A 20,585-nucleotide genomic window follows, 5' to 3' on the forward strand; every position below is an offset into this window, starting at 1 on the left:
AAGTCTGTCTTTCTGTGCTTAGGAGGAGGGACTTTGCTTATCAAAGCAAAGACTGAGTGGGCTGGCTCTGGCTGCTTTTAAGCCAAGGGGCCTTCTGGCTTTTTGGCTGCTGGCATGCAAGCTCAGAGGCGCTCCTTGAGTTCATTCTTTTCCCATCTTTTCCCTTGTTTCCGTGACAGAATACAGTCGCTTTGAATCGAAGATACATGACTTACGAGAACAAATGATGAACAGCAGCATGAGCTCTGGGTCTGGGTCCCTCCGAACAAGTGAAAAGAGGTCCTTGTATGTCAGGTAAGTTGCCCTTCAGAGCACTAGCCCTTGTGCTGGACGAGGAGAGCTCCATGCCAACCCAGCCCTTCTTATTTAACTAGTGGGCTAGGGAGTATGTACTCCCAGTTCTAAAATAACGCTTCTCACTGTATGCTTAGGTTGTGTATTTTATGGTCAGTGTCTCCTCCCTTTTGTGAGCTGGCTTCTTCCTTTTAGCTCATGAATGACTCAGTATGGGAAAATTTCAGTTTGCTCTAATTGTAAAAGACTGTTGGGTGATTGTTGCTAGTCAGCATTCAAATATCAGTCAAATGTTCAAAGTACTTTGCTTGCAATCTGTGCTTTGAGGGGAAACTTGCCACCCCCCCATCCCCTTCCATGTATGCATAATAGACATCAGGATTTGTATCTGAGCATAGCAACTATCGCAGTGTTCTGGTACAGGATCTCTTTTAAGAGACCAAAGAACTGACAGGTTGCTGCATTCTGGATGTTTTATTGTGATTCCATTCCCCCCTCACCACCCGCTGCACTGGTCTGCTGTATCTATGAATCATGGGATGTATAGTGTATGTGCCCTAGGAAGAGGGAGGGGGTGGAGGGAACAGATAGGTAGCATGGAGTATATTGCTGCTGAAAGCTATTCCAAGATATTTCCAAGGTTGAGCTTCTCTGACCCTTGAGGCATAGCTTAATACTTTGTCAGGTCAAAGTACAAATCTCCTGGGGAGTTGGAGTGCCAAGTGAATACTGTGGACTCCTCATAGAATTAGGGATAGCTTCCTTCTTCCTGCTTTGGCTTCTTGGCAAAACTCCAAAATCTGGTGCCAAGTACATTGTATCCTCCAAGGTTAAAGCCCTTAGAGAAAGGTGGTGGGGATTACTCTCCTGAGCCAGAAGTTGCTACAGTATTGTGTTTAATGCTTAGGTGTGGGGTCATATCAAACTCTTGGGCTGAACTTTTTCTAGTGGCCTCTGATACCTGGCTGGGAAGTTGCACTTGCTAGTTGCTTGGCAACGTGACAACTGCTCTGTCCTTGGGGTGTGAGAGGACAATAGTGAAGGGATGTCAACGCTAATTGCAGTTTTTCTCATGGTGCTTGCTTTTCTTTTTCCCCAGTTGGTGGTCCCTGACTCTACCGCAGGGAGTGGAGCTAAAGGAGCCCATCTCTGAGCCTGAAGCCCACTAGAACCCTTCACAATCTTTCCTAATGTGAACCCTCAACTCCACCCCTTGTGTGTTGAAAGCATGTGCTATGCTTACCTCCCGCTGTGAAGGGAGAATGGTAGGAAGGCGGGACTAGTCACTGGTCATTTTTCCAATTCCCCGGAAAGGAAAGTTTTGTTTTCTGTCACTAAAGCCCTTGCTCCCAGTCTGCAGCCTGGATACTGGGGTGCTGATGGGTGAAATCAGAAATGCACTGTCGACCCCCCAAAATAGGTAATGGTTATATGACTTGGTCAGGATTGTTCCGTTCCGTGCTTCCAGCCCCCGCAGATGTGGCACTCCAGTGTGCGTGGGAAGCTGCTCTTTAGGCAAGACAGTTTCTTTGGAGAGCTTTATTTTTAGATTTCCCCTCTCCGCCTATCCTGTGTTAGAGTTCTCTCTGCCTGGGCAGGGGGAGTGGGACATTGGCTCCCGATATGGAGCACTCTTCCCTGGCTCAGGCAAGGGAATTAAAGGGATACACTTAGCTTAACTCTGGGGCGAGGGTGGAGACCATGACTGTGTCTAGTGAATCAGTTTATATAATCTGCCCGTAACCTTCTCTAGATAAATTATCTGTATCCTCTGAGGAAAGTAGATGTGGTTAGGAAAATAGTAACCATTTGTGATCACTAGATTTAATCAGGGGCACTTAATGTCTTATGGCTAAAGCATTGAGCTGAGGCCCTTTGCTAAGCTAACCCCTTTATCAGAACCTGGCTTACTCTCTTCCCTTTTGTTCCTGATTTTGGCCCTTCACTCTACACTTGGTTCCTTTTCTTCAGCATGTAAACATATTTAAGCTTCTTCCATTCTTAAAAAGAAGAAAATATCCCTTGATACCAATAGTCCCTTAAACTATTGTCTTGTATCCCTTTGCTTACTGCATTTGCCAAATTATTGGCCAGAAAACACTAGCTCCTCAAGATATTACTAAGTATTGTGTGAAAAATCAGTGGTTTAGTAAGTTGGGCAAATGCAGGCTTAAACAGAGGAAAATGGGGCTCTTTCCTGTGATTAATCTCCAGGAAGGACTGTACTAGGCAGTGTTTCCCCAAAAGATAGAGCGTGGGAGCCTTATTTGAGAAACCTATGTCAACATCCAGGTTGGGAAATGTTGGAGTACTTGCTGCTGCTTCAAATCACTTCTCTTTCACTAGCCCGAAAGGAAGCGTGCATCTGCTTTTCAGTGTGGTAGTGTGGCTCTGAACAGCTCTGGAAAGCTCCAGGGGAGCAGAAACCTGACTCTCTGTCAGGGATCAGTGGGTGACTTCTTAGTCTTCAAATTTAGTGACTGGTTCACTGGTTCTCTGACATTGTTCTGACCTCTTCACCACATTTGTTTCCATGAATTACCTGCTTTCTTCTTTAAAGGCTCTCTTTCTACCCTGCTTACCATTCCTTAATACCTTTCATTAGCTCTGCCCCCCTAAATGGCAATGTCATTTATTTTCACAGCTTCAAATCCTGCCGTATAAATGACATTCCTGATCTCTTTACTGAACTACAGACCTGCATATCTACTACTTGCTGGACATGTGCATAAATAAAACTGCCCTCTCAGCGCCTCAAACAAGCGGCATGTACTTTCCTTATCTAAGTTAATTGCCTCACCCTATCATGTGGAAAAGGGATTAGATTTGTTCTGTCACCCAAGGCAGATCTCTGCTCAACATAAGGAAGGAAGAGCTAATGATTAAAACTGTCTGAAAATGGAATGGACTGCTTCCGGATATAGTAAATTCGATCTTTAGTCACTCAAGGTGTTACAGAAGAGGCTGGGCAACCATTTGCCTGGGTATTGCAGAGGGGGTTGAAACTAAAGCAATAATCTGAACATGATCTGCTCAAAAGCTTTCACTAGTTCCTCAGTGTCTTCAAGATAAAGGGGAACAAACATTTAGGGAACACATTGTTCATCAAGACCTTTGTTATTCTCTTTAAATGGCTTTTAATATCCCTTTAATAATCCTACAGAGTAGATATTATGATTCCCATTTTGCAGATGAGAAAACTGAGACTCCAGTTAGATAGCTAAGAAGTTCAAAAACTGGAACTTGAACTTGGTTGCTCTGACTATAAAGTGTGGTTCTTTCAGTGTTTCCCCAACTTCCTCATAGGAATCAGCTGGAATGCTAGTAAAAATACAGATTCCCAGGCTCCTTTTCTAGTGCTTTGGATTCATCAGGTTTGGGAAAATACATGTGTGGTGTTTTTTTTTTTTTTTTTTTTTTTGACGGAGTCTCGCTCTGTCGCCCAGGCTGGAGTGGAGTGCAGTGGCGCGATATAGGCTCACTACAAGCTCCGCCTCCTGGGTTCACGCCATTCTGCCTCAGCCTCCCGAGTAGCTGGGACTACAGGCGCCTGCCACCACACCCGGCTGATTTTTTGTATTTTTAGTAGAGACAGGGTTTCATCGTGTTAGCCAGGATGGTCTTGATCTCCTGACCTCGTGATCCGCCCACCTCAGCCTCCCAAAGTGCTAGGATTACAGGCATGAGTCACCGCGCCCTGCCCAGGAAAATATATGTTTTTAACAAGCAATCAAGGCTGGGTGTGGCAGCTCACACCAGTAATCCCAGCACTTTGGGAGGCCAAGATAGGAGGATTGCTTGAGCCCAGGAGTTCGAGACCAGTCTGCACAACATAGTGAGCCCCACTCTTAAAAAGTAAAAAGTTTTTAATTAGCCAGGTGTGGTGGCATGTGTCTGTAGTCCCAGCTACTCAGGGGGCTAAGGCAGGAGGATCACTTGAGCCCAGGAGGTTGAGACTTCAGTAAGCTATGATCATGACACTGTATTCCGTCCTGGGTAACAGAGCAAGACCTTGTCTCTATAAAAAATTATAAAAAATAAACATCACACTTACTTTAGCTCCTACTATGTAGAAAGCAGTAAAACACAAGGCTAAGAATTTGGGCACAGTTGCAGGGTATATTCAAGGAAGCAGCGGGTATGGTCCCTGCCCTCTGGCAGTTCGCCATCTACCCAGAAAAGATTTAAGCGGCAGGTGGTTAAAGTGAGGGAACCCTTTTTCAGTTTGGGTGTCACCTCTGATTATTTTGCTGTCGCTTTCCCTATGACATGATTATTTTGCTTTCCTTCCCCTCCCCTGAGTATCTATCTCCCTTTGGTGTACATGTGTTTGCAAAGCTATTTTGAAGTAAATAACACTCTCTTAGAGCTGCAACAGAGGCTCTAACAGGTGAAACCCTAGGGAGCTGCAGCTGTACTAACCACAGGGGACGTGGGGTTTGTAGAGCAGGGAGCAGGAGGAAGAAGGAACGAGAGCAGTATTTGGAGAATGAAATTTGATTTTAAAGTCATCAGTGACTTATTTGGAAGGACCTTCCTCACACTTCACTATGCTAGAATTATCTCTTAAGTAGATGACCGGGATAAGCACAGCACCTCAGTCTGCCCAGCCTAGGGCTTTTGCTCTGCTGGAGGATTTGCCTTGCCCACTGGAAGAGTCCACAGAAATAAACCTCTCTTGAACTTCTTGCTTAGGGTTGGGATGGGTAGGTGTTTAACTCAGACCATTCTGATGTGAAGGCAGTACAAAGACACTGAGTAAGTTAGAGTTCCAGGGATGACCTTGTTCTATACTTGTATTTAATTTAATTTAATTTAATTTAATTTATTGAATGAGTAAAGCAAAGACCCTTGTGCTCCAAAGGTTGCCAAGAGGCTCAAGAGTACAGTTGTAGAAATAGCTTTTGAAAGTCCGTTCGGGCTAGCCTGGCTGCATTCTTTGCAGCCATAGGATGGCATTCAGGTAGTTTGGGAGTCCTGGCCTCCTGACTGGCCATCTGCCATCTCAGTCGTCTTAGGAAGGAAATCATGTTAGAGCATCTGTAGTCTTGATTCAAGAAACAATGTCAGACATATTGGCTTGTTCATTAAAGAAGGCTGGAGAATGCTCATTCCTGTCAACAAGCAGACATTAATTGTGCAACTACTCTGCTTTGCCCAGGGTGGTGCTTGGTGGAGCCTGACTTGGTCTTGCTTGTTAATGAGTTTCAATAGTGTATTAAGATGCCAATGGGGAAATATTGGCAGGCTTCACTAGCTGATAGAATTTGGGGGTGGGGATAATATGTATTTTAAAAAGCAACAATAATGTATGTAAGTGTTCAGGGCTACCAGAGGGTGGGGCAGAGCTTCCTGCATCAGTGATTTCTAGAACTACCTATTCCCAAACACTAGTCCTGGGCTTGCACTCATAATCCCTCAGCTCATCCTATCATCTGCAAGTGCTGTGAGCCCCAAACAGTCGCTCATTGCGGGCTAATTGGTCCTTGAATGCCTCTCCAACATCATAATTGCCATAAGGCCTGACACTTTGAGACAGACAAAGGAGGAAGGTGCTCTTAACCTGCTCTCCATGCACCTTTCTTCAAGATACACCAGGGAGGCCCGATCACTCCTTTTGTGTTGACCCACACTGTGCCTGTCTGAGTGCTCGGGTTTGTGCTGTTAGGCTGCTCTTCAGAGGCTGCTGGAAATTTAATTCTTACTAAGGTCAAGGGCTGATGAGTGACTGTTGCTTTATAACTTTCTGTGCATGCTTTATACAGACTGGGCAAGGGATGGGCTGCTTAGTTGTCAAATAATGTGTGCCCTTTATCCAGTACTTTCTGGCCAAAGGAATAAAGTGATATCTTAGGCCCCAGTTACTATGGGAGGGAACACTCTCAGGGTTAGAAACTAGGGAGTAACTGGGAGGGTCTTCTGTGGACACTCCATCCCCTGTAGCTAGGTCTCACCCACCATTCACAAGGATTCAGAATCCCACATGAAGCATAAGACATGGTCTCAGTTTTCAAAGGGCTTCCACTTTGGCGGTGTAATATGAAACATTAAAAAAACCTTGCAAGAATTAAATAGCAATAAGTAGAAAATATAAAGAAAGGTTGCTGCCAAATGTGGTAGCAAATACAGTATGGATTTAGAAGAATGAAATTTGGAGTGGGCAGGATCACAAAGCTGGGAGAGACTTAGGCTGGGCCTCAGAGGAGTTGCTGAGCTGGGTGAGGGGACTGACGGAGCATCTCAGGCTATAGACAGATGGCTCGAGCCACAGGTAGAGAGGTGGGCACAATACTAGGTTATTTTAGCAGAAGCAACCCCTTGCCTTTGAGGCTATAGCGCTAAAATGCTCATTTGCTTTGCATCGAGAAACCTGCTTGACCAGTTTCCTTCTTAGTTACCATTTGCTTTGCGTTCCGGTTCATTAAGACATCACGGTGGCTGTGCCAAGTGCTTATAATTTCTCTGGATCTTTCCAACCCAAATCTCACAATTTAGGATCTCAACTGCAAGGACTTTTGCCTGATAATCTGTTTACTTTGAGCTGGTTATATTCTTGCTTTTCCATCCAGCAGAGAGGACCCAGCTGAAAGGAAGACTGGACAAAGTCCTCTAGAGCACGTACATTATCCCTGTGGGTGGGTGCATGCATCCCTTCGAGGATATTTTTAAAGGTCACCTCTTAAACAACATTGTCTTTCAAGACCTTTGGGAACACTTTCTCCTTAGGGAGACAAGCAGCAGCCTTGAGAGCTAGAGTGCTGAAGATGAGCTCAAGAACTCAAACCTGCACATCCCCTGGAAGTTGCATCTGCTCTTCATGGTGGTATGACAGCTCTGGAAAGCTGTTTTGTAGCCTACCATCACTTTGTTTTTACATGTCACATTTTCCCTGGGCTACACTCTTTCCCTTGCTCTTAAAGAATGTAATATTTTTCTGGCCTGGCGTTGATGTTTGAAAAGTTCCAGGAATACCCAGGCTCTGGCTCTCCCTGGCTTCGTAGAGATATGTGGCCATAACTAAGAAGTAACATATTCAGGGGCAGATCATCTTTCTTGTACATCAAGCACTGTGACTTCAGGCTGGGGATGGTAATATATTTCCATGAATTTTATTCTCTCATGGCACAGTGTTTTCCTCTGATGTGACCAGTCCCTAACTTGGAGGCCTCAATGAAATTATTTTTATCTTAAGTACAGAAGGAATATGAGTTTTTGAGACTTCCTTCTACTCTCCCAACACATTATCTTGTCAGATAAGCTGAAACACACACAGATATGCATGCATGTGCGCATGTGCACACACACAAGCACACACATAATGAGACCAGGGTGGCAGTTGGTTAATTGCGGCCTTTCTTTAGGTATTAAGAGACAAATACCTTTTGCTTTTTTTTTTTTTTTTTTTCATGCTCACTCTAATTTTGAGTCAGGTTGAAATGGTTGGTTGCTATGTCATGTGGGCCTTGCATGTGTAGGACTTCCGTCCTGGGACAGTGGTTCAGCCTGATTTGAAAGGGGAGTATCTGCCTTGACTTTCTCTAGTGCCTGCCCTAAGGATAAAAGGAGGAAGAGGAGAATATATCAGTGTTGTGGAAAAAGGTATTCCTTCTTCCTCTCATCAAACCTACCATGAGCCATTTATTTGTGAGAGGTGCCAGTCCCTGTCACTTCATTAGGATTCCAGGGTGTTCCTAAGACAGACTGTCACTGCTAGATGGCCACAGTTTAGCTGCTTCTTAAAGATCTTAGGAAAGCAGTCAATATTTTTAAAAAAATTATTAAGGTCTAATTTACATACTTTTTTTGGTTACACGAAATATATCTCATGGGAGAAGTTGTTTGACTTTAGTACGCTGGCCTACTCTCTTTTACTGGTTTTATTTCCACATGAAAGTTTAGCCGGATAATGGGATAAGAAAGCTGAGGTAATGAAGTTGGTCCCATAAAGCCTACTAAATGAATGTCAAACTCCTTAGCTGGACAGTGCAGGCTGTCCACAGTCAGGCCCCAACCTGCCATTCTCTGAGGCCCAGCCAGACTTGGATGCACGGCTGATCCCTGAAAATAACCCTGTGCTTCTTGCCTCCAGACCTTTGCTTACACTGTTCTCTTTAGCTGGAAGGACCTCTCCCCAGCTCTACCTTTTGAAATCCTAAATCTTCATTGAGAACCAATTCAAAAAGCAGTATCTCCTTGTAGCTTCCCCAAACTAGATGTGATCTGTACTCCCTGTGAATCCTTCTAGGCCTTGGTTTGTCCTCCTTTTGGGCTTCTTGCTACAACATCCTTAGTATACTACACCCTCTGTCACCTAGTAAGCTCCACAAGACAATAAACTTTGTTCTTGTATCTCCCATGTATCTAACACATACTCCGTATAAAGAAGACTAAGTAGTTTTTCTTTGAGACAGAGTTTTGCTCTTGTCGCCCAGGCTGGAGTGCAATGGCGCGATCTCGGTTTACCGCAACCTCTGCCTCCTGGGTTCAAGCGATTCTCCTGCCTCAGCCTCCCGAGTAGCTGGGATTACAGGCATGCACCACCATACCCAGCTAATTTGTATTTTTTAGTAGAGACAGGGTTTCTCCATGTTGATCAGGCTGGTCTCGAACTCCCAACCTCAGGTGATCCGCCCGCCTCAGCCTCCCAAAGTGCTAAGATTACAGGTGTGAACCACCGCACCCAACCAGACTAAGTATTTAAATAGTGGAAGAATGGTATTTTTCCACATGTAGCTGAGTGAAGAATTAGCTTTTTTTTCTTTTTCTGAGATGGAGTCTCGCTCTGTCACCAGGCTGGAGTGCAGTGGTGTGATCTCGGCTCACTGCACCCTCTGCCTCCTGGGTTCAAGCGATTCTCCTGCCTCAGCCTCCCGAGTAACTGGGACTACAGGCATGCACCACCACGCCCAGCTAATTTTTGTATTTGTAACAGAGATGGGGTTTCACCATGTTGACCAGGATGGTCTCCATCTCCTGACCTTGTGATCCGCCCGCCTCAGTCTCCCAAAGTGCTGGGATTACAGATGTGAGCCACTGCACCCGGCCGATAATTAGCTTTTTTTGAAAAAGCACATGTGACTGTGACTTAGGCCTTATGAAATTTTCTGAGATAGAAGAGCCCTGGTCTGAGAGTCACCCAGTGTGCAGTTCTAGATGAGGCTGTGTGCATATCTGGGCCTGGCTTTCATTGTCTTTGAGGAAATTTTCTAGCTTAGTCAAACAAAATTTAAGCAGGAAAAAGAGGCAAAGTAGATTTAGAGAAAATCCACATCATGGGTTTGGAAAACAAATAAAAGTTATGACAAAGGAAGGGATTGTTGAGGGAATTGGGAATGATTAGCCTGGTAGAGAAGATCTAGGAAAGACTCAGACTCATTAAATACTAGAGCTGGAAAGAAACTTAGAGAGTATCTAAGGGATTTCCTTTATCAGATAGAAAGTTGGACAAAATGACCTCTGAGGCTTTAGCGGTCTGCAAAATTCTTTTTCTATTTGCAGTTCTGATTGATAGAAAAGGAAATTCTTGTTCAATTTTTTTGCATTCTCAACTGTGAATAATAGTCTAGTTCAGAATCTCAAACCTCAGATACTACATTTCTATGTCTTTTACAAAACCATAGCTTAAAAAAGCATTGTCCATCCTGTTCATATTTCTTGTCCATTCAGTATTCATAAATTCATCAAACAAAATCCAGATAGACTTGGGTACCATTTTTTATTGGGAAATTAGAGTTAGACAACTTCCTTTTTTGCCTTGTTTGCCAGGGAACTTAGAACCAAACGTGTTCCTCATCTGAAGTAAATGACTCAAACCAGTGCTTGATATATCTGCTTCCCCACTTTTTTTTTAATTGGCTTAATGTTTTTTGAAAATTGTGAAAGGAACACATGCTGTGGTTAAAAACATAAGCCCGAATAGTACAATTCCCAATGTGCAGAGTTAACTACTGGCAAAATCTTTTTGACTTTGATCTGTGTTTATATTGTTTTTACTTAGCTTGTGCTGTATGTGTTTTAATTTTTTTTTGTTGTTTTATTTTGTTTTGTTTTGTTTTCGAGATGGAGTCTCAGTCTGTCACCCAGGCTGGAGTACAATGGCACAATCTTGGCTCATTGCAACCTCTGCCGCCTGGGCTCAAGCGATTCTCCTGCCTCAGCCTCCCAAGTGGCTGGGATTACAGGCGCCCACCACCCCGCCCAGATAATTTTTATATTTTTAGTAGAGACGGGGTTTTGCTATGTTGGCCAGGCAGGTCTCGAACTCCTGACCTCAAATGATCTGCCCGCCTCGGCCTCCCAAAGTGCTGGGATTACAGGCGTGAGCCACCCCACCCAGCCGGAAGTAAACTGTTACATCAATTTTAGTTGAAGCTCAGATATTTAAAAAATTACAAACAGTTGGATTCCCGGCATCTAGAAAACATGTTTACGTCAACTCTACTTTATACACTTCAGCTTGTTACTGCTGTTGCCAAAGGTCAAGCATGGTTCTGGGAAGTGCTAAAATGTATCTTGTGTTTTAAACTTACAACCAGTAAACTCCGCCCTCTAATCTTCTACAAATTCATCCTAACTCCCCTAATTCATTTTATTTTATTTATTTATTATTTATTTTTTAGACAGAGTCTCGCTCTGTCACCCAGGCTGGAGTGCAGTGGCGCAATCTCGGCTCACTGCAACCTCTGCCTCCCAGGTTGAAGCAATTCTCCTGCCTCAGCCTCCCGAGTAGCTGAAATTACAGGTGCCCGCTACCATGCCCGGCCAATTTTTGTATTTTTAGCAGAGACGGGGTTTTGCCATGTTGGCCAGGCTGGTCTCGAACTCCTGACCTCAAGTGATCTGCCTGCCTCAGCCTCCCAAATTGTTAGGATTACAGACGTGAGCCACCGCGCCCGGCCTCCTAAATTCATTTTAACATCTTCCTTCCTTCTCTCACCAAACTAATTTGTGCTTAATTCAAGTTCTGTTCTTTTCCTTACTATATTTGTTCTAATCTTTGAAACCCATAATGACATCCAGTGTTTCTCATTGTCACTGAGAATGAGGTTGCTTCATGATGCTCTTCTTAGTAGGAGTGGCTGACAGAATGTCTTCCTTGCTTTAGGAAATGCAGGACTCAGGCAGTGAGAATGCATTCAGTTTTGATTCTGTCACACATAGCCCGGAATGCACCTCTCGGACAGCACCTCCTTGTCTGCTGCCTCTGCCATTCTCCTTACTGCTTTGAGTGTGTAAATTGAGGGGAAAAAAGGGCTTTTTGTTAGAGTTTGGGTATTTTCATTTTCAAATCATCTGACGCTGATTTTTAAGAACTCTGTTTCAAGAGCTGTAAGCAGTAGGTGAGTATTTCACTCTTCATGGTTTTACTACATCCTATCTCATTTGGGCTTGCATATGGTAAGATAGTGTGTTTTACTTGCAGCTTCCAACTGAGCCAAAGGCCACAGTATTGCAGGTAGAAGTCAAAGTCTTGGAACTAGATTTTGGGCTGTGTGTGCAAAGGTGTGAAAACACCTTATTAACAGAGAATATGAAGAAGACAGCCTAGATTGCAGGTAGAAAAATACAAACTTCTCACTGAAATCACCCATTTGTGGTGACTCCATATGAAGACAGGTTCCACTGGATGTGAAAAGTAGAAACTTTTTTTTTGGCTTTTTTTTTTTGAGACAGAGTCTTGCTCTGTCGCTTAGGCTGGGGTGCAGTGTCGTAATCTTGGCTCACTGTAACCTCCACCTCTCAAGTTCAAGTGATTCTCCTGCCTCAGCCTCCCGAGTAGCTGGGACTGCAGGCATGCAACATCACACCCAGCTAATTTTTGTAGTTTTAGTAGAGATGGGGTTTCACCATATTGGCCAGGCTGCTCTTGAACTCCTGACCTCAGGTGATCCACCCGCCTCAGCCTCCCAAAGTGCTGGGATTACAGGCGTGAGCCTCTGCGCCCGACCTCCTAAGGCTCTTTTGATGTGTCACTCCTCTCAGATTTCCAGGGGCCACTAGATCTTGTCTATTCAAGGGCTTCCAAAATTTGCTTCAGACCTTTATTTCCAATACCATTTCCTAGGACTTCTAGCATCAGCCAAGCTGGTGTCCTTTTCCATAAGCCTGGATTGTATAGCTCCCTCCCCACCTTCTCCCACCTTCCCTTTTATTTCTTTACTCTGCATCATTTATAGCATGTCACAACAGCATGTCTTGTCAGAAGACCTGGGTTTTGTCCCAGGTTGGTTAGATGTATGACCTAGGTCAAACTATTTTTTCCTCCCTGAACCTCTGTTTCCCCATATGTAAGAGAAAGAGACCGCACTAGGTGACTTCTATGGTCCCATTGGTCTTTTCAACCCTACCATTCTGTGCTTTTTCTTTGGCTGCCCGAGGACATAGGGCCCTTTCTTTAGTGCTTCAGGAGTGTTTACCAGTCATTGTTTGGGATTGTAGTTAACATTTTTTGTCCTCTCTTTAGCTACTTTTTGAAGATATGTTTGTGAACTGAGAAAGCGCCCTGCTAGAGCTAGTTTCCTAGGATGTGGGTGAGGGAGAGGGCTATTGAGCGAGTTCTACTTTGGACTTTTATCTTGCATCCAGAAGCCAAGAGGAGATGGGGTTTGTAAAATATTTTCTCTTATGCTTCTTATTGGGAGAATGAGATGTTTCTTTGAAAGCGGGTGCATATTTACCACTTTGGCTCAGAAAGAAGGATGTGGTCTCCTGGAGACATCCTTCTAGTATACTGTGAGGCTGCTATGTCTGTGCTGTTTGGGTTGGCCTTCCATCTTTTCAAGGTGCCAGTGTCTTGGCATTTAGGGTTGGATGATCACTTCATCTTTCACTGTGCCTTTCAGGGCCCTGTTTGATTATGATCGGACTCGGGACAGCTGCCTGCCAAGCCAGGGGCTCAGCTTCTCTTATGGTGACATTCTGCATGTCATTAATGCCTCTGATGATGAGTGGTGGCAGGCAAGGCTGGTGACCCCACACGGAGAAAGTGAGCAGATCGGTGTGATCCCCAGTAAGAAGAGGTGAGTCGTCATGATCATGAGCAAGGCCTTTCCTGCCCTCTTGCTGGTATTTCTTTCTTGTTTTCCTATTAGAAGTTGCTTGAGAGCAACGTTTGTGCCTTGATTCCTTTTTGGTAGAGTCGGTACTCAACATGGTTTTTACTCAGTGAGCCAAAAAAATGGCTGCTGTGCCTGCTGCAACCCACTGCTGAGACCATTTACTGGCAGTAACAGGACTTCTTTCTGATTCCAAAACAGGGTGGAAAAGAAAGAAAGAGCTCGATTGAAAACTGTGAAGTTCCATGCCAGGACGGGGATGATTGAGTCTAACAGGGTAAGTGGGGATCCCCAAGGAAATCAGCCAGTAGGTAAAGAGGGTTGAGAAGCCTGGAGTTTAGTCTGATGTGTAGGAGAACTGGGGAACACAAAAGAAAATCTCTTTTTCAGGGGGCTGGCTCTGTCCTATCAGAACATTGACTGCTTTTCAGAAAGCAGAGAGGGAGCTCTTAAAGTTCACAGCCAGTCTGTGCTCCTTTCCCCTGGGTACCGGCTCTTGAAGATGTGTTAGAGTTGGACTGTCTGGAAGGCTGACTTGCTTGGGGAAAATGAAACCACTCGTGGGTGTCTCCCTGGCTATAGATCCTGTCAGAGCATCCGGCCAAGAAGCCCAGCTCCAGAGCTCCCACCTCCCTTCAGACCACCTGAGGCAGGCGGGTTCTCCATTCACCCCTTTTTTTCTATGAGCTTCACAGGCCAAAGAACTTCTGGAGCAGTAGAGGGAAGAGAGACGTGGAGTAGATGTGTATATCAGTGGTACCTTAGGGCATGTGTCCAGGAGGCTACAGTGACCTTTGTTCTTTAGGAAGTACCAGTGAGTGTTATGAGTGTCTGGATTATGTAGAAACTTCTAACATCCCTACAACATTTTCTTGTAAACATAATTTTCCTCTTACATCAACTTTCATTTAATCTCATAGACTCCATTTGTGAGAGATGGTCTTTTATTTAGCTCACCGTTGTCTCCATTTTAGTTTTTCTTGCATGCTTTAAAATCCATTGTTCTGTTTTTTTTTTTCTTCTGTCCTTCCCCTCCATCTTCATGTTCTTTCACAGTCGATCAAAACGAAACGTAAAAAGAGTTTCCGCCTCTCTCGAAAGTTTCCATTTTACAAGAGCAAAGAAAACATGGCCCAGGAGAGCAGCATACAGGAACGTAAGTAGCAGCAGAGTCCAGAGAGCAGGCCATCTGCAGCCCCATCCTCTCATCCTCAGTTGCCCTTCCCTCGAGAGAAGCCTGGGCAGGGCCACGTGTGGCCTCGTGCCTGCCTGTGTGCGTGTGCACCTGCTTATCTACAGAGTCAGGGCAGAAACTGGTCTGCCTAAGGAGATGTTGGGTTTTATTTGTCCTGCTCCTCAGTTAGAATGAATGTTGGAGGCACTGAGGTGGGACTGGTCCCAGGGTCAGCCTCCAGGAAGTGCCTGGCACTAGCAGTGGAAGTGCCAGACAGAGCTCTGCTGTGGTGGTGAGGAACGGTTTTTTAGCTAGACTGTCAGGGTCAGGAAAATGGTTTTTCAAGAGAACAAGGTCTAGGGACTCAGTGTTGCTCTCCTGGTTTCTTCCTCTTGTGTTTTCTTTCCCTTAACTTCACTCATGTATGTCAAGAGAAGAGCCTTTTCTTCCCAGGATCCCTGGAGTTGGGGCTACTTCTGGAATCCCATGCACGTGCATAAGCATACAGGATATCCACACAACTCTCAGCAGACTCGCTGTCATCCTAGAGTGCCTACAGAGCCAGTTTTCCCAGGAGAATCCTTCCTGCTTAAATGAGTTGACATGGAAGGAGTGTTGCTCCACATTGTTCAAATAAAGATCTATTGAGAAACACAAAGTTGGTTCGGTAGGAAGAGCAGTCACACTGAGCTAAATTCAACGGAAGAAGAAATTTAATCCTGATAAATCTTCTTGCTCTACCGTGTGCCTCAGCAATTAACTGCTCCAACCTTAACCTTAAACACCAGGTCTGGCTTGAAAAATGTCTTCTCACTTGTCTCATCATGAACAGTAAACATCTCTCATTTACCAGTGACTCCTCTGTCTTACATGGAGGGATCTTGGGGTCTTGGTCTATTGGGGCTGGCAGGAGACTGACTGGTTCTGATAGGAAATGTCCTTCTGTCAGGCCAGCTTGGTCCACAGTCATGGTATGTGTAAGTCATTGCTATCTGGGGTGGTACCTGGTGGACAGAAGGGTGCCCTCATCTAGATGGCAGCCACGGCTCATCATCCTGGAGTAGTTCAATGAGAAGCCATAGACGGGGTGGCTCTGCTCATGAGCAGTTAGGAGACAGTCTGAGTCAGAGGCCTGAGGTGATGTCACCATAGTTTCATCAGATGAGTCCCAGAGTCCCTCCATGCCAAGCCCAGCCTGGGGAGGTGTTCATTGCTCAGTGGTCCCGCCTGGTGGGCGAGGGGGTATCTACTGGATGACAGAGTTGAAGGTGCCTAGTGCTTCTCCAGAAGCTGAGCTCATCCCCCAAGATCTGTCCAGCTCAGGGCAGCTTTGGAGGCCACACTCTACACCATGCGAAACTTTTCCTGAAGGGTTTGAACAGAGTGAATCAGTATTGGGCAAAGGCTTCTTGAGGTGATGGCAATTCTATCTGCCTACCTGGCACACGCGGACATTTGCTCTTTCACGCACTGCAGAGGGAAATGGTGATTTCAGGGGCAAACAGAGACCTGGGCTCCACAACCAAAATTTAGTCAAAGCAGGTGCTCTAAGCCTTGGAGTGTCACCTGTCCTGTCCCATTGGCCTACAGCTGTAGACACCTCAGAAAGCTAGTCTACTCCAAGGCCCTCTGGCAATGAATTGGGCAGCATGAAGTCTTGATGTCTTATCTGCCCTGGGATGTTCTTTCTGTGGCAAAGTTCCTGGCCTCACTATAGTGCTAGGTCTTCATGGTGTTTCATAATTCTGTCACTAGTGCTCACCTACCTCTGTATTCTTCCTCCCCCCTTGTCTTTTTCTCTATTTTTTCTCTTCTCCCCAAATCTCTCCCTCTCTTCCATTCCCTCCCATCCCTTCCCCTTCCCCCCTCTTCTCCCCGTCGTCCTCTCTCCGCCCTTGCTGTCTGTGAAATCAGGACTTCCCGGGGTTAAGTGACGATTATTATGGAGCAAAGAACCTGAGTAAGTCCAACTTACACACCGTTCACTGTACTTGTGGCATGAATGGAGATAGTGGGGGTGGGGCTATTGGGGACATGGGTGAGGGTGAAGGGTGAGGGGAGGGCAGTGTTTGTGAGCACTCTGACATCACAGCAGGAAGAAGTGCATGTGGCTCCATATGTTACATGTTTGCTATGGATCCCTAGTACCCAAATAAGTCCATATCATTCATGCCTTTGTTTACCTTTTGCTACTCAAAGTGGGAGGGCGTGAGCATGGCATCCCACCTTAGAAGTGAAGTAAGCTTGAAATGTTTCTCCAAGGTAACCACTCAGCTAATCTCTAGCCTATTGTCGAAGGGAGGGGTGCCTGCTGGTTGGATTCTTCTCCCAGTGATACCACGCTAAAGAATTGGGTGTAGGAATTGCAGCTGTTAACAGTCCTCTAACTAGGGGCAAGGGTACTGTGACCCCTTTTTCCCAACCTGCATCTGAGATGTCCCAGCAGATCCCGGGCCTCAGCAAACAGCCACTGTTTGGCTTCCCACAGAGCACCTGTAAGGGGTTGAGCTGGTCTGCTAGGGGCCTCAGCATCATTTATGGACCATATATAGTTAGTGCTTTATCTCAGGAAAACTCCAACCTCATTTTCCTTTCTGGAAAAGAATCCTGGAGTGGAAAATGAAAAAGACCTAGATGATGAGGCCTTAGTGGCCATCCTGCTGCGTGCAAGGGTGCACAGACACCAAATGGGTTCTATCAGCATATACTCTCCTTCAATAAATAATACAGACCAAAGGCAAAGGAGTTGCCCATGGGGATTGTTCAGGAACTAGCCATGTGTGGCAACTCAGCCAGTCCTTTCTGGGTGGGGGGGCCACAGCATATCATGGTCTGGAACAGTGTGGTCTTGGCTGAAATGAGCAGCATCTCTCTCCATAGTTTGGTGTGTCCATGTCTCATCTTCATTCGCGTGTCATCTTGGATGGGCGGGCTTTGTTTGTGCCTCCTACGAGCGCTGCTCCTCCGCCTGAGCTTTCTTTTCCCTCACCACTAAGAGATGGGCAGATCCCAGCTGTGTGAGACAGGAGGGCTGCCTTGTCCTCAAGGTGTTTTTGTTGGTTTTGTTGTCTGTGTTTTGACATATGTGTCTGGTGGTGGATGGAGATGCTTCCCCTCTCACCACTGAAGCCAGGCTCTCCTGCTTTGGAGTGGTGGCAGGAAGGCTGGGGAGCCCACCGAATGGTCAGAGCAGCGCTCCCTGGTGTCTGCTTAACCCATCCAGCGTTTGGCCTCTTAGTTGTGGAGTGCCACATGGTTCTGTACTTCAGGGGCTCTGTTGGGCGGGGGACACCCATGAGCAGACTGGTCCCTGGACTTCTCTTTGCTCCTGTCACTGTCTTTTCTTTCCTGTTGTTAGCCTTGGGAGATGCATTTTGAAATACGATTTGGAAACCATCCAGGTCAATTTGATTCAGATGAAGAGGATGCTGCTGAAGGAAGTATGGCTTGTAGTACATAGGGAGGGACTTGGCAGACCAAGAGGGCTCTGGGGACAAGTACGAGAGGGCCAGGGGCTCAGGATTGGAGCTGTGCCTCCCAGTTGGTAGCCTGGATGTGGCAGGCCTCTGGTGGCCTGACTCAGTTGGCAGCTCAGTGTCTCGCTCCTGGAGCATTTGAGTTTTGTGCTGCATGTGACCTCTCAGTGGTGTGTTCTGAATTGGAGTCTCTTTCTTGTTGGCTTGCAGAGGGAGTGACATCCAACACCAGTGACAGCGAAAGCAGTTCCAGTAAGTGTGTGTCATTCCTTCCATGTCGTGTAGCTCCACTGTGTATCCCAGCCATCCTCATTCCAGTGTTGCACAGCTGCCATTGCTGCTCAGAGGCTGGTGCTTCTTTTAGCCATGTACACTTTGAGATCCTAGAAATGCTGTGGCCAGTTCATTCTCCTTATGGGTTGGGGTTCACCCCATGGATTAAAGGAGAGTATAAGCCCTATAGTGCTGGCCGGGACCTGACTTAAAAGCATCCCTGGCACTGGGAAGGGTAAACTGCCAAAGAGTAAATCCCTGCCATGGGTACTGTGGGCCATAGGTGCTGCCAGGTTTATAGATTTGCTCAGAGACCAAAAGAAAAATGGCTCCTCTAGGACACTGCCCTAAATCTGCCTTTCCAGGTCATTAGGACCTCTTTGCCTTTGGGGCCAGTTAAAGGATGAGGTAATTGCCAAGTTCTCCTTGGGAGATCCTGTGACCAGACCAGAGAAACCGTAATTCAAACCTCATGAACTTTGGGAGCACTGGTTTTTCAGGAGCTATGGTGGCTAGAAGCCTTGTAAAATCTGCCCAGGAATATTAGGCTCAGAAGAAGCCTTTTAGCAAGCATTGTGTGCCTTGATGCAAATATCACTGTTTTCCCTGGGACTGCCATCAGCCACTTTGGGACCTCCAGGCACCCAGCACCGAGTGGCTTGACGACTGTTTTAGGAAAACCTCAACATTGCTAGGCTCGACATGGGGCTCCACCAGGAAGAGACAGCAGGTTCAGCATTGCTCTTAAAGGGCACTGGGGACCTTAGCAGAGCCATGTGCCACTTTTCTGGATGCTGCTTCCAATGCAGGAGGTGGGTTGGTAGACCTTTAAAAGGGCAAAGTTAGGCTGCTTGGGGACCTGGGTGTGTGCCCTGACTCCCCTGCATGTTGATGAAGGGGACTCGGGCAAGCATCTCAACCAGTCAAAGTGTCCCTGTCATTCTTACCAGAGCAAGGGGGCTACTGCACACAGCTGACTTGTTACCTACAAGAAGAGTTCCTCACAAATTGGGGTGGTTTGGGGTGGAGGCTTCATGGCTTCTGGGCCTTGGCCCTTTGCCCAGTGATATTTCACTGAACAAGAGAACTGCTGACTCCTGTCTCAGAGCCAGTGAAGGGTTTCATGTGCTTTCTCACCAGCAGAAAACAGAAAGGATCACAGGTGGTGGCAAGGACCACCTGATAAGGCTGTGTCCTGGCAGGGGAGGGGTACGGGGAGTACTGTACAGAAGGAGGCAGATCATATGGTGCTAACCTATCTCTCTTTTTTGTTGCAGAAGGACAAGAGGATGCTATTTTGTCATATGAGCCAGTGACACGGCAAGAAAGTAAGCCTCCTCTGAGAGCCTTGTCTTCGTGCTGGTCTCCTGGTCGTGGGGCTCAATACAGTGGGTGGCTGTGGCAGCAGAGGGAGGGACCTGGAGGAGGAGGAAGGCTTGACTCATGGCACATCCAGCCCCTGGGCTCCTTCTTCTCTATGCTTCTTCCTAGTGTCATAGGGAAGGGGGTGCATCCAGTGTGCACTTCTCTCTGTGCCTTTGCCTGCTGCCAGGACACCTTCCAAAGGAGGGGGCAAATTTACAAGGAAAGTCTATTTCAGTAGATGTAGCCACTGCTAAAAGAGAGGTCCAGGTTCTTCCCTTCAGTGGCTGCTCTGCAAAAACCTTGCTCAGTTACTGGTGTCAGTGCAGAGATTTTTTCTGACTCTGTTAGAAGGGGAGCAGCTTCCGGTTTCAGACTTGCCTTGAACTTAGATATTCTCAAATTAAAGGCTCTTTGATGTCTTTCTGTTTAAAAGCCAGACAATGTCTGAGGATGCTTTACCCTGTCTGAGTCTCTGCTCCAGAGCCTCTGTGTTCTAGCCAGACTCAGGGGTAGGACAGGCTGTCTGGTGGGGGCCTCTGTTCACTGTCTCGATGCTCTCCCTCTCTAGTTCACTATGCAAGGCCTGTGATCATCCTGGGCCCAATGAAGGACCGAGTCAATGATGACCTGATCTCCGAATTTCCACATAAATTTGGATCCTGTGTGCCACGTAAGAGTCCAGGAAGGCCCAGAGGAGTGAGGCTTGGTGCCCTGGGAATTGTTGCTCTAATGTTTTATGGAAAAGGTCTGGGATCAGATTCTAGGGCTATTTGGGGACAGGGTACATTTGACACGCTGGAAAACAGTAGGTGGCAATATATTCCCCAAAAGCTGATGGGGTTGGAGAGATTAAGCCATCAGGCTTGGCTGCTCACTCTTGAGGGGAAGTTTCAGTGGTGATGGTTGAGAATGATTGGACAAATACGGAGGCCCAGCCAAAGTGGTGTT

At 46.2% G+C, this 20,585-nt stretch overlaps 1 protein-coding gene across 18 annotated transcripts in view, besides 1 other annotated feature; it reads left to right on the forward strand.

Moving 5' to 3' along the window:
- Positions 1 to 20,585, forward strand: part of DLG3 (discs large MAGUK scaffold protein 3) — a 60,656-nt gene that overhangs the window by 34,136 nt on the left and 5,935 nt on the right. For 10 of the 18 annotated variants that reach the window (XM_006724625.3, NM_020730.3, XM_005262248.5 and 7 more), the window contains 7 exons: positions 180 to 294; positions 13,137 to 13,313; positions 13,551 to 13,626; positions 14,406 to 14,505; positions 18,210 to 18,251; positions 19,550 to 19,600; positions 20,206 to 20,307. In XM_006724625.3, the coding sequence (XP_006724688.1) occupies positions 180 to 294; positions 13,137 to 13,313; positions 13,551 to 13,626; positions 14,406 to 14,505; positions 18,210 to 18,251; positions 19,550 to 19,600; positions 20,206 to 20,307 (663 nt within the window). Of the gene's footprint in view, positions 1 to 179; positions 295 to 13,136; positions 13,314 to 13,550; positions 13,627 to 14,405; positions 14,506 to 16,437; positions 16,484 to 18,209; positions 18,252 to 19,549; positions 19,601 to 20,205; positions 20,308 to 20,585 lie in introns of all 18 variants that reach the window. The other 8 variants (XM_011530883.2, XM_017029322.3, XM_047441888.1 and 5 more) reach the window with 3 other exon arrangements.
- Positions 1,082 to 1,583: an enhancer, noted in NCBI's record as "NANOG hESC enhancer chrX:69699902-69700403 (GRCh37/hg19 assembly coordinates)". NCBI's record gives its function as "activates a minimal SCP1, AML or CMV promoter by ChIP-STARR-seq in naive H9 embryonic stem cells {active_cell/tissue: H9 hESC(naive)}" and the evidence as "EXISTENCE:reporter gene assay evidence [ECO:0000049][PMID:30033119]".

Source organism: Homo sapiens, chromosome X, assembly GCF_000001405.40.
Source record: "Homo sapiens chromosome X, GRCh38.p14 Primary Assembly".
NCBI lineage: Eukaryota > Metazoa > Chordata > Mammalia > Primates > Hominidae > Homo > Homo sapiens.